Source organism: Homo sapiens, chromosome 5 (assembly GCF_000001405.40).
Source record: "Homo sapiens chromosome 5, GRCh38.p14 Primary Assembly".
Taxonomy (NCBI): Eukaryota; Metazoa; Chordata; class Mammalia; order Primates; family Hominidae; genus Homo; species Homo sapiens.
Genome location: NC_000005.10, coordinates 81,239,380 through 81,252,021, shown reverse-complemented (window position 1 = coordinate 81,252,021; position 12,642 = coordinate 81,239,380). Strand labels below are relative to the sequence as shown.

The window sequence follows — 12,642 nt, the reverse complement described above, 5'->3', positions numbered from 1 at the left end:
TGGTAGAGCAGTGAGAGAGGCATGGGTCTGGAATCAGGGGGCCTGGATTTGCATTTCGCTGTACTAGCTATGTGAACTTGGGCACTGTTTAATTTTTCTAGGCTTTCATTTCATCACAGAAGGATCCTAAGATGAAAAACAGATATTCCATGTAAAGTGCTGGTCACACATAAAAGTGCTCCACAAATGTTAACTATCCCCATTATTACTATGCAACTGGACTGCAAGCTCTAAGCAAGAATGACGATGCTACACTTCTTTGTATACACGACAGGTCACTGGCTTAATGAGTCTCAAAATGATTTTCGGTTTTACTTAGTCATCCTCAAAGGCAAAAAGAAGGACCCTTGCTAACAGTTTCCAGCAGGGGAAAGCATATTTCTTGCTGGTCTTTGAAGATTTTTTTTTGTTTTTGTTTTTGTTTTGTTTTGTTTTGAGACGGAGTCTTGCTCTGTTGCCAGGCTGGAGTGCAGTGGCGCGATCTCGGCTCACAACAACCTCCGCCTCCCAGGTTCAAGCAATTCTCCTGCCTCAGCCTCCCAAGTAGCTGGGACTACAGGCATGTGCCACTATGCCTAGCTAATTTTTTTGTATTTTTAGTAGAGATGGGGTTTCACCATGTTGGCCAGGATGGTCTCGATCTCTTGACCTCGTGATCTGGCCTTCCAAAGTGCTGGGATTACATGCATGAGCCACCGTGCCTGGCCTGAGGTTATTTTAAAGTCAGGAGCCCTTACCTTGGAGGAAATAGCCTAGGCTGCTCCCGGACCTCGGCACACACTTTCTGCCGGTTCAGCAGGTACCCGGTGGTCAGGACACTGGTGCCCATGGTAGCAAACAGCAGAGAAGCATTGCGGCCAGTTAGCAACTTAGAAAAGATACTGGCCATCCTTCCTCTTGGATGAGTGTCTGGAAAGCAAAGAAGCTGGATTAGATAGCTTCATAGGATGACCCTGAGCCACAACATAGGGGTCAATGGGCAAGAGAACTGCAGGAGCCATAGCCTCTCTTTCCGGTGTCTCTGTCTCTCTCTCTCTCTTTCTGTGTGTGTGTGTGTGTGTGTGTGTGTGTGTGTGTGTGTTTTCTATTTCTTGCTTTGCTTTTTTCTTCATATTGCTTGGGAAAATCTGGGTAGTTTTAGACATAATGTCTAAACTTTCTGAATTCCATGCCTTTTCTCTGTTAATATGCTATGATAAAAAATAAACAGCAGCAGGGATGTCTTCTTCCAGCTATTTGACAGACCATATGCTCTATTGAACTTTGCCACTGCATCACAACTAGACCCTGAACAGGATGGATTTCTGGACTTCTGAAAGGTAGGAGAAATTTCTGAGGACCACCCTCCCACTCTACTGAAGTTGGGATGCCAGCATTGGGAATAGGGGCTGAGACTGGGATTCCCCCATTGAAGTAGGACCTTTGAAAGAGGCTGAAGTGGCACAAAGTCAGCAGACCCCAACTTCTGGCTCCTGCCTGAAGCAGGTCTAAAAGCTCTCTGAGGAAATTATATTCAGTTTAGGCCCTGGATTCCTACAGATTAAGATGAAACAATGAACTCCCAAAGATCACCAAACACACAAGGAGGTACAATGAATGAGAGTCAACAGAAGAAATAGCAGATGTAGACTGCTAACGACTGAAGATGCTGGAACTGTCAGACAATAATATAAATAAGCCCTATATTGAATGTTTAAAGAACTAAGTGTGGAATCATAGTTATGAGCAAGCAACAAGAGACTATTAAGAATGACCAAGTTGATTTGTAAGAACCAAATTGAACCACTCATTATGACACAGCTGAACATAGAATAAATGAACTGGAAGATATAGCTTAAGAAATTACTCAGAATGTAGCACAGAGAAATGAGAAAATGGAAAATAGATGTAAATTAAGAGATATGATGGATAGAATGTCAAGCTCAAATACACATCAAATTGAAGTCCCAGAAAGAGAGAATAAACAGAGAAGTCAGATTTGAAGAGGAATGGCTGAGACATTTTTAAAACTGATAAAAGAATCCATGATTCAAGAGGTGTAACATAATCTAAGCAAACAAAGAAATTGACACCTAGACAAATAATAAAACTGCAGAATAACAGTGACAAAGACGTGAAGAGCAGTCAGAAAGAAAAGACAGTTTACCTACAAAGAAATGACAAACGAGCTGATTTTTTGATAATGAGCCCAGGTAGATAATATTTTTAGAAGCAATAACTGTCACCCTAGAACTGGGGAACTAGTCTAACCATTTTTTCAAAAATGAGAGTGAAAAACATTGATAAAAAACAGATCAATAACAAAGGAATTACTAAGCTATATGCTTCAGAAAGAAAGGAAATGACAGCATAAGGAGAGAGCCTGAAATGGAGAAAACATGTATAAATCTAAATAAGTATTTATATATTTATTTGTAATACAAGTACTGAACTACCAACAAACGATGAAAAAGAGGATAAACATGCACAGACAGAAACCCTGTTGGGTCTGCTACTGCCTAGAGATTTAGAAGGGCCAATTAGCCCCACAGTATCACCTAGCAGGGAGCTGTGTAATGTGGCTCTTTGAGTAGAGAACAAAAGAGTACGTAGTTCTCAGTACTCTATTTGATCTCCATAATGCCCAAATAAAGAGTGTATGGGCCCGGGATGGTGGCTCATGCCTGTAATCCCAGCACTGGGAGGCAAAGGTGGGCGGATCACTTGAGGCCAGGAGTTTGAGACCAGCCTGGCCAACATTGTTAGCTGTCTTTTAGTAGAGACAGCAAAACCCTGTCTCTACTAAAATTACAAAAAATTAATTAGCTGGGTGTGGTGGCATGCACCTGTAGTGTAGTCTCAGCTACTCAGGAGGCTAAGGCATGAGAATCACTTAAACCCAGGAGGTGGAGGTTGTAGTGAGCCAAGATTATACCACTGCAATCCAACCTGGGTGACAGAACAAAACTGTCTCAAAAAAAAAAAAAAAAGAGCATGGATTTCCCTCATATTTGGAAGGCTCCCAAGACTCAGCTGCAAGATGCTCCAAACTTAGCTGAATTGATTGCTTCAAAGAACTTGCTGATGTGTAAGGCTGTAGCTGAAAACCTGGGCCATCCAGTGAAGAATAAACATCAACTCCTAATAGAACCGTCATTTCGAAGTCTCTACTAAACCTGAATGTCCCAACTAAAAGCATCAAAGACCTTGAAAACATTTGAGAATGTTTATGTGTGCAAGTAACAAATCAAGCCTCTTCTGAGTAGGGGTTACAGGATATAGGTTACAGGATAGCCCAGGAAATCAGATTATTAGTTCTTCTTCCGTGCTAATATCTGCAAACAATTCTTTCAATTCTAAAGCCAGTAAGTTACTAAGAGCAGACAAGATATAAATTGGTCATTTCTTGAAGTTGTCCTGGGGACTTGTAAAGACCAACATTCATTCTCATCATGGAAACTTCTTTGCTCCCCTGCTAGATTTCAGGTCATCATGTCAGTATCCCTCCAAGAATAGATAACGGCTCTTCAGTGAGCTGCACCAGTGCTTCCTGGTCCTTGCTTGCAGCAGGCAACGCTAGCATACATCCTTTGGGCCATCTTATTTGCCATCACACCCTCAAACCCACTTTCTAACTAGAGAGAGGCAATGCTGTCACTCTAGAGGTTTACTGTAGAACTCACTAAAGTGAAAGAAGCTTTGCCCAGATTCTTTCCAGGCAGTATGGGCCTAAACATAAGCCAGACATGGTCTTCCTAAGCTAACAGGAAGTATGTTCCTTTCTGGGATTGACCAGGGATGACCCAAATGTCCTGGTCCCTATTTTTCATTCCTTAAATTGCCTATGCACTGATATGTGCCCAAGTCAGTGTCTGAGATGATAAATCTTAGGAAGCAGAGCCAAGAGGAAGGGGAGTGAATGGTCTCCATGTATAGTCCTGTGACCACTGGAGGTCTTCCTCCCTGTAAGGGTGATGTGTGAGTGGGTATCTGGCTCAGAATATTAATGTTTGAAGTGTCATATCCATATTTTAGTTCCTGGAAGGAACTAATTTAATTAATTTATAATTATTATTTTATTCCAAGTTCCAATACTGCCCTTGTGTCTGAGCAACAAAGGATGACTCATGCAGATAATCCTGGGGAAGCTTTGATTGTGGCTAGCAAAGCAATCTTGGAACTGAAATTCCTCAGTATCCTTGCTTTGATTCCTTGAAGAGAATTGACACAGACTCCAGGTTTTGGTGAAGCAAAGAATTCCTGCTTCCTTGACTCTGTTTTTGTCTCGCCAGAACACAAAGAGGCATTGAATTTCACTATTAAGGCCTTAATTAGTAACCTTGTTTGTGAAATTGAAACAAAGGTCTCACTGAACAGGCTGGTGCTCTGGCAATGGCTGTTCCATGCTCTCCAAAGACCCAGAATCAAGGCTTGCAATGAAATCACTTTTCCTCATGACTAAACTAAATCTCTCTTGCATGTTAAAAGTTAGTCTTTAAAACGCTGCGCAGTCAGAACATTGCTTTGTCTTACACATTTCCCTGTTACCTGGCAGGCCCCAAATGTTACATAAGCATTCTCTGCAGCTGTAACCCCTACTCAGAAGAGGCTTGATTTGTTATTTGCACACATGATAACATGTGGCATAAGTAAAGCTGGGAAGATGTTTGTTTGTAAGGGGTAATCTGTGTCTATCAAAGCAGATAGTATTGGTTTTGCCTAGTTTCCAAACATGGTTTTATAAGTCAGTATATCTTGTGAAACCATTAGGACAAAAGTTTGGAACAAAAAGAAATCTCAGGCTCATTGCAAAGCTTTTTTAACGTTTTCAGTTCCCTCCATGTTCTGAGCATTATCATAACGTACTGAACTGTTCTGTTCAGAGACCACTAGGGAGAGGAGATGAGGAACCAGAGCAGCCAGGATGTTTCTCCCTGGGATAAAATCTCAAGCATTCAGACACCCTCACTGTGGGCTCCACTTCTGTAGCTAGAGGGGACTGGAAACAGCAGGAGCATCTCACAGCTTGTAGGAAGCACACATCTTTTTCCCAAATGTTTCTTTTTGCAGTTGGTCCTTGCTGGCTGATCCAGCTTCCCCGTCAGCATATGGTGAGCAGTTCGGTGAGAGGACCACACTTCCAATACTGGCAGGTACGGGTCCACAAGGACCCTTCTTCCAGGGAACCCTGGCTGCTAGATATCACAGGGCTGAGGGAAGCTGGCTTCTCAACTTCGCTGCTGCCCGTGTTTCTTCCCACCATCCCCTCCACTCTAATTGGCCCTGTTTTCCAGCCTCACATCTGCCACTGTGCCCGTTCTCACAGGGATCCCAGAAAGTCTTACAGCCCGGGATTGGCTTCTAGCCCCAGCAGGAAGCATGGAATTCATCCATTAAGGAACTCTTTACTGAGTGCCTACTGTTAGGCACTGTGCTAGGCAATAATGATATGAAAGTGAGCAAAAGAAACAGTTCTCTCCTGTGGGGGCTTCTAATTCATTTGTGGCAGACAGTCAAGAAACAAGAAAACAAAATCATCGTAGGTGGGGATGAGTGCAAAGAAGGGAATAAGCAGGATATTATTCAGAGAAAATGTAAGTGATGTCTACTTTTAAATAGGCTAGGCAGGGGCAGAGAGTAGAACAGCAAAGCCTTAAAGCTGGACAGATCTGGACTTGTCCCAGGACAGAAAGGAGGTCAGTGGAGCTGAAGCACAGGGAGCAAATCACAGTGGACTTCGGAAAGGATGGACGGGCAGGGTGTAGGGGAGCCAGGTGTGCAGGCCCCGAGACCACCCTAAGGAGTCTGGATTTTATCCTAGTGCAGAGGAAATTTACAGATGTGCTTGCAAGCAGGAGACGTGCTGAGCTCATTTTATGAGTTACAGGGGTAGCTCTGGCTGCCAGTGGAGAATGGTTTAGAGGGACATGTGCAGAATGCAAGCAGAGAGAGCAGTCAGAGGCCCTAGACATTGTCCAGGTGAGAGATAAGGTGCTGAGACCCAGGTGAGTCAGCGAGGATGAGAGAGAATGTATTTGCAGTCTATTCTGGGGCAGTGCTGACAGGTCGTGCTAATGGTTTGGAAATGAAAGATAAGGGAAAACCAGGGATGCCTGAGATTTCTGGTCTACAGTTGGGCGGGTGGTGAGGCCGTTAGGTGTTGGGGCCCACTGGTGGGGGAGCAGTTTGAGAGCAGAGTGTTGCTGGCAGATGTGGATGATCTGTGTGGTGGCCCCGGGCCCCTCGCACCACAGCTGCTGGGACTCTTCACAGCTCTGGCCCTGCTGTGCCCTCTGCCTGATCACCTGCTGCCCCGTCTCAGCTTTCCCATCCCGCTGGCTCCTGGGACTCTTTCAAAGGCTTCATAAGACCTATAGTGAAGGCCTGGCCATCAGGCCCCATTTCTGCCCAGCACAGAGACTGCTATGACCCAGTGATGACATTGTGCCCTAAGAACTTCCCCACATTCTCTTCAACTCACAGACGACCTCAGATGTAGCTGCTCTCTCAGGCCTTCAATGTACGTCTCCACCCAAATGAGTAATATTTGCATTACAAGGAGGAAAGGAGAGAGGGAACCATCGGGTACCTGCTGTACCAGGCACATTATATGCTATTGTCCCTGTTTTCCAGATGAAGCCAGATACTCCTCTATGAAGTTAAATGACTGGTTCAGTGTTAACACTGCTAGTGAGCGACAGAGATGGAATTTGAACGCACACCTGTCTGACTCCACCTCGTGTTCCTTCCACATGGCCAGCAAGCTCTGCTGTCCCACCTCGCACTTCTGGGAGGTGGCTACTCCCTCTTTCCACCCCCTTTTCTGGATCTTGACAAGGGATTCTACCCTGCCCCAGCTGTCAAAGCCTGCAGCAGCTGCCAAAAAACCTCAACACAGGCATACTTTGGACCTACATCATGTGTTGATGTCACAGATGCTGTACCAGGCATTTGACTCCTTGATCTAAAGCCAGGATTCCTAGCCAACATGGCGAAACCCTGTCTCTACTAAAAATAACAAAAATTAGCTGGGCATGGTGATAGGCACCTGTAATCCCAGCTACTTGGGAGGCTGAGGCAGGAGAATTACTTGAACCCAGGAAGCGAAGGCTGCAGTGAGCAGAGATTGTGCCTCTGCACTACAGCCTGGGCTATGGAGTAAGACTCTGTCTCAAAAAAAAAAAAAAAAAAAAAATAGTGAGGGGGATGCATGCCCACACAAAGGAATCCTGATAGAGGAACAATGGCTTGGTCCGTTTCCCCTCCTGTGTAGCACTGTGATAAAGGAAAGCCTTTCAGGTATGTGCCTCGATGGAGCCAGTGGGTGGAAGAGGAAGGGCAATGAGAGGTTTGAGGACAAGCTGCTGATACCCTCATGTGTCATCACAGTGGTGCCCTTTGGGAGCCTGCTTTGGTATACTCGTCCACTCAGGGAAGAGGAAGTCTCTTATCCACAGTTTTGTCTTCAAAATTGAAATTTCTTTGGGCAGAGCCTAAAAGAGAGTTGCCTCATTTCGTGTAACTGTAGCATATGTAGTGTAGAGGCTCCAATGTGTTTTTGAGGCAATCTGAGAGCTCTTTCTGGAAATCCCTGGCAGATGACATCTGCGTCTGATTTTACTTTGTCTTACAACCAGGCTAAGACCTCCAGCATCATCAGACTGTCGAACTGCTCAGGTCAAGGCAGACAGGTAGAAAGGCCCACATAGATAGTGGTTACTCATCCCAAGAACACAGAGGCCCACACCAGGAAGGGGCAGGTGATGTTAATGATGAGGCAGGCAATTATATCTTGCGATTTCTATGAGCCATGATGCATTACAGTAAGGAACTTTACCTCACTTGGCTTGTGACTTCTGTTAGTGAAAAGTGGCCTGCTGGCCTATGCTGTGGAGGACTTGCAGAAAACTTCCCAGTCACCGGCAGACGGTTGACATCTCCCCTGGTTCCTCCCCAACCCGTTTAGTGTGAAACGGGACAAAGGGAAACATTTCCTTTGATCTATTTTTGGGGAAAGAGGCAAATGTCAACTAAATAAGATCATATTAGGGACTGGGCATGGTGGCTTATGCCTGTAATCCCAGCACTTTGGGAGGCCAAGGTGGGCGGATCACCTGAGGTCAGGAGTTAGAGACCAGCCTAGCCAACATGGCGAAACCCTGTCTCTACTAAAAATACAAAAAATATTAGCCAGGTGTGGTAGCACGCGCCTGTAATCCCAGCCACTCGGGAGGCTGAGGCACGAGAATCACTTGAACCCAGGAGGCGGAGGTTGCAGTGAGGCGAGATCACACCACTGCACTCCAGCAGCCTGGGTGATAGAGACTTGACTCAAAAAAAAAAAAATCCTATTAGGAATTTCATGAAAGCTCACACAGTTCTTGCACACATCATTCAAGGCCTGTTATGGGGGCCCAGAACATCAGGACACAGTAGCTAGCCTCACATTCAGCTCCATTGCACTAGAGCTTTGCATGATCTCAATTTGAAAAACACACATGTATATCCTACATTTGTATCTCTATTCTAATATTATATACTGTATATGACTTTTTAAAATATTGGTTTGCTGTTTCTATTTTGTGCTAATGCAACAAATCTAATTTGTTTTAGAAACAGTTATTACTGTTTCTTGCTTCTTATCACCCCCTACCGTTTGGACTCTGTTGTCCATCTTTCTCTGCCTAATTGGACCACAGCCTGGTGCCTCAATCCCCACAAAATCTGTTCCCTTCTAGCTCAAGATGACTGCATTCTCTCTCAGTTCGCAGTGTACTCATGGGCTGCTCATTCATCTGCCCTTGTGCTCTGTGCCTTTTTGGCATCTGCGGGTAAACTCAGTGCCACATATCTCTATTCTGTTCACTCCTAATGTTTGTATTGTCTTCCCAAGGGACCTCTCTTATGGCCCTGCTGGGCTCCTCCCCTTACCCACATGTGCCAAGCATAGAAATCAAGGCAACATTCTCAGTCCCTTTAAGGGAAGTTCCAGGTACCTAGCTAGTCCTACAGCCAGCAATTAGGGAAGTTAACGAATAACCTGCTAAACAAGAAGATAATAATTTAAAAGCCACTCAAGTAAGTCAGAGTCACAAAATGTTTGATTCCCTGTAGAAACTAAAGATAGCATCTTGACCTATTCCCTTGCATTGCTTTTCAGAAAACAATTCCCACACCAGATGGAAAATGCTGACCACTGTCATAGAACTCAGACAGACTGAAACCAAAAAATAGATATGGAAGTTCCAGAAATTCCCTAGCTCTTAACTCATTTTGGATACCCCCTCACTCCTGCTTTAAAAACCCTTGCTTATAAGCCAGCAGGGAGCTCAGGTGTTAAGTGCTAGGTACCCATTCTTCTTGCTTGGCACCCAGCAATAAACGCCTTTTTCTCACTACAAATCTCAGCGTCAATGTTTGGCTTTTTTGGCATGCTGGGCAACCAGAACCAACCCCATCTTTGTGTGCCTGCATCCAATTCTGATGAGCCTATGTATGTCAGGTTGGTCAAGGCCCTTTGTGCTGAACACCAAATCAACCTAATTAAGGTTGATGACAAGAAACTAGGGGAATGAGTAGGCGACCTCTGTAAAATTGACAGAGAGGGGAAACCCTGTAAAGTGGTTGGTTGCAGTTGTGTAGTAGTTAAGGACTATGGCAAGGAGTCTCAGCCCAAGGATGTCATCAAAGAGTACTTCAAATGCAAGAAATGAACAAACCTTTGTCTCACAAAAAAAAAGCCCACAAACTTTTGAATGAAATCTACTTATATGATGTGACACACATTTCTTTCAGACATGGATTTTGAAATCCTATCAATAAAAGCCACCAAGTGAGACACTCAGTTCTGGTTTTGAGCATGTACCTGCTCCGTTTCCTGGTATCTGCAAATTAGGGTGGCCCAGTGCAGGCTCCTGACCGTTTGACCATGACAGGCTGTCTGAACCCTGGGAGCTCATCGTGCCCATCGTCAGAGATGTCCGTATGTGACACAGCAGAGACTACCCCACAGATAACAGACGAAAGCCAGCAGAGTACAAGGCCTAAATGTGCATGTCCTTCTGTTTCCTTTTTTTTTTTTTTAGGGGTTCTGACTGAGCAGGCAGATTGGAAAGGAAGAATCAGATGAGGAGCAAGTGCTAGGTGTTGGGGAAACAATTTAAATTTCCTCCCACCCCAGAAATTCCTCTCCATAAAATATAGGAAAAAGAAAATATTTTATTATTGAATAAACATTAAACTAGTGATGCACATCTTTAGCATTCTGCTAAGGAGATTGCAAAGACAGACATCCCACCCTTTTATGTGGGCAAGCAAATAGGACCCATTCATTACATACATGTTCTCGAACTAAAGTAAGAGGACTTGACAGCACCATTTGTCAAGCATAATTCATCCTAAATTCACCTGGTGACCATTTGTGTTCGCTAATTGCCTTTATCAAAAGGAAAAATAAAACTCAAGTTTCTAGGACAGCAGGTAGTTTTACAACTTGGAGCCAGGTGCTTAAATGAAACTACTACCCACTGCCCTCCCACTGACAGTGGGAGGTAGGGAGCTATCTTCCTTGATGTCTGTATTTTCAAAGAGATGGTTTCCAGGCCCTTGCAGGAAAAGAGTCCTAGGTTGTAAAATCGACTGGAGCCTTACTTAGCTTTTAAAAAGATTTATATACATTTCAAAGGGGCAGCAAAATATAAGTTTTCTAAAGGAAATGCTCTAAGAAAAAGGAGGAAGCTCTTCCCCTTTTTGCATGGGCTTGTGGGGTAACTTACATTCTGGAATTCACGAGGAGCAGGAATTGGTTTCCTCCCTCCACGTGCTGGAAGGCACAGTGTAAGAAGCTTGGCAAGGCTCCAGTCGGGTGGACAATCACTGGGAATTCCACGCATCAAAGGGACAAGGGACAATCACTGGGTCCATCCTTTACTTCAGAGGGACAAGACCCAATGAATGTAGAACTGGGCCACAGTTTGTCTTGGTTCTTAAGCACGCTGGCCCACACATGATAGGTTATCATTAAATGTCTGATGAGTAAGTGAATGAATGTCAGGAACCTGAGAGGCTTTAGAGGTCATTTACCTCAGCTGAAATTCAGGCATCCCTTTCCCTCAGCCCTCCTTAAATACCAGCAGTCCTGGGGATCCCACCACTTGCCACAGCAACCCATTTTACTGTTGGATAACTGTAATTATTATAACATTTTTAATATCTGAATAAGGAGAGAAAACAAAATTCGAGTGCTTTCAAGGGCAGGGTACTTTTTTCAAAACAATCCCAAGAAGTAGGTATCCCATGTCACAGAGGAGGGAACTCAAAAACAGAGACATTAACTAACAGCCCAAGGTCACACAGCTAAAGGGAAATCATATGTATCGAGTGTCTGTTCTGCACCAGGCACTCATTTAAATAAAGATCCTTTCACTCACAATAGTTTACCATACAAATATTACAGCATGTCTAGATGGGGTCTTAACCATACCAAAGTACTGTATTGCATGCCTCCATCTGCCCTGGGACTAGGACCAGGTCACACACTGCAAAGGATTTGAGTGGAAACGATGAATAGACCCCTGCACACCCATGTGCATCAATGGAGGACTGTGGATGCCGTGTGCCCCCATTCCTCTGGGCCATTGTCATTAACCCTTTGTCTCCCAAGGAATGGAGCTGCCAGAGAGTTCCAGCTGCCTCAGATCCTCCCTGGTCTCTCAGGTATGCTGAGTGTTTTCCCTTAAGCAGGGTTTCCATAGGCTGATGCCGAGGGGAGGCTAAGTATGGGGCCAAAATGCCCACAGCACACAGGTGTCACTCCAGGCAGCACTGAGGGGAAGCAGAACCAGGGGATGGCTCTTGGGGCCTTCCTTCGCAGGAACACCACTCACTACAGGCTTCCAGGCGGTCAGCGGGTCATGTGAGTCAAGGGCAAGTGGGTGAATGACACTGATATGTTTCAGGTAGGGAGAAGCCATGGTGGGCAGCATTGGAGGGAGGGGAAAGAGGGGGTGAGGAGGGGGTAGAGATATGTATTTGTCTACTTATTCATCTGATGACTATTTACCTACTATGTGGCAGCTTTTCCAGAGTCCTTAGTCTGAGGAAAAAAACGCTGTGTGCTCGTGTTATTCCCATTTTACAAGTGAGCAGATGCAGGGAGAGAAAGGCAAAATAACTCACCCAGGACCACATGGTTTGTGAGTGGCAGCGCTGGGATTCTGGCCAGCAGTCATAGTCCACACTCTTAACCACGGCCCTCTGCTGGGCAACTAGAAATTGTGTGTGATTTGTGCTCTACTTGGGGAGCCAGAGCCTGTTGGGGGGTCCTGGGAGGGCATGGTTGGCTATGGGACAGACCATTCAACGATGTTGTTTGAGGAGCCTTGTCAGGTCTTAAGCATACCAAAGTACTGTATTGCATGCCTCCACCTGCCCTGGGACTAGGACAGGTCACACCCTGCAAAGGATTCGAGTGGAAACGATGAATAGACCCCTGCACACCCATGTGCATCAGTGGAGGACTGTGGATGCCACGTGCCCCCACTCCTCCCTCCCCAAAGCTGCTTTCCAGGCATCTTCCAGGTGGGGAAATGGCCATTCCCCTCAGCCCAGAGCAGACTTAGCCTGCCCTTGAATGCTGCCAAAAAAAAGAAAGGGCTAAATGTG

The 12,642-nt window shown here is 45.1% G+C and overlaps 1 protein-coding gene and 1 long non-coding RNA gene across 6 annotated transcripts in view; one reads left to right on the top strand and one right to left on the bottom strand.

Moving 5' to 3' along the window:
• Positions 1 to 12,642, bottom strand: part of CKMT2 (creatine kinase, mitochondrial 2) — a 33,077-nt gene that overhangs the window by 14,377 nt on the left and 6,058 nt on the right. For 2 of the 3 annotated variants that reach the window (NM_001099736.2, NM_001099735.2), the window contains exon 2: positions 738 to 909. In NM_001099736.2, coding sequence (NP_001093206.1) covers positions 738 to 889 — 152 coding nt within the window. In that variant the 5' untranslated portion in view covers positions 890 to 909. Of the gene's footprint in view, positions 1 to 737; positions 910 to 7,816; positions 7,981 to 12,642 lie in introns of all 3 variants that reach the window. The other variant, NM_001825.3, reaches the window with a different exon arrangement.
• CKMT2-AS1 (CKMT2 antisense RNA 1) overlaps positions 1 to 12,642 on the top strand; it is a 64,005-nt gene that overhangs the window by 49,548 nt on the left and 1,815 nt on the right. Inside the window, exons 2-3 of one of the 3 annotated variants that reach the window (NR_034122.1) lie at positions 1,233 to 1,319; positions 5,050 to 5,132. The exons of 1 other annotated variant lie outside the window; for it this stretch is intronic. This is a non-coding gene — a long non-coding RNA (CKMT2 antisense RNA 1). Of the gene's footprint in view, positions 1 to 1,232; positions 1,320 to 5,049; positions 5,133 to 6,612; positions 7,279 to 12,642 lie in introns of all 3 variants that reach the window. One more of the 3 variants, NR_034121.1, reaches the window with a different exon arrangement.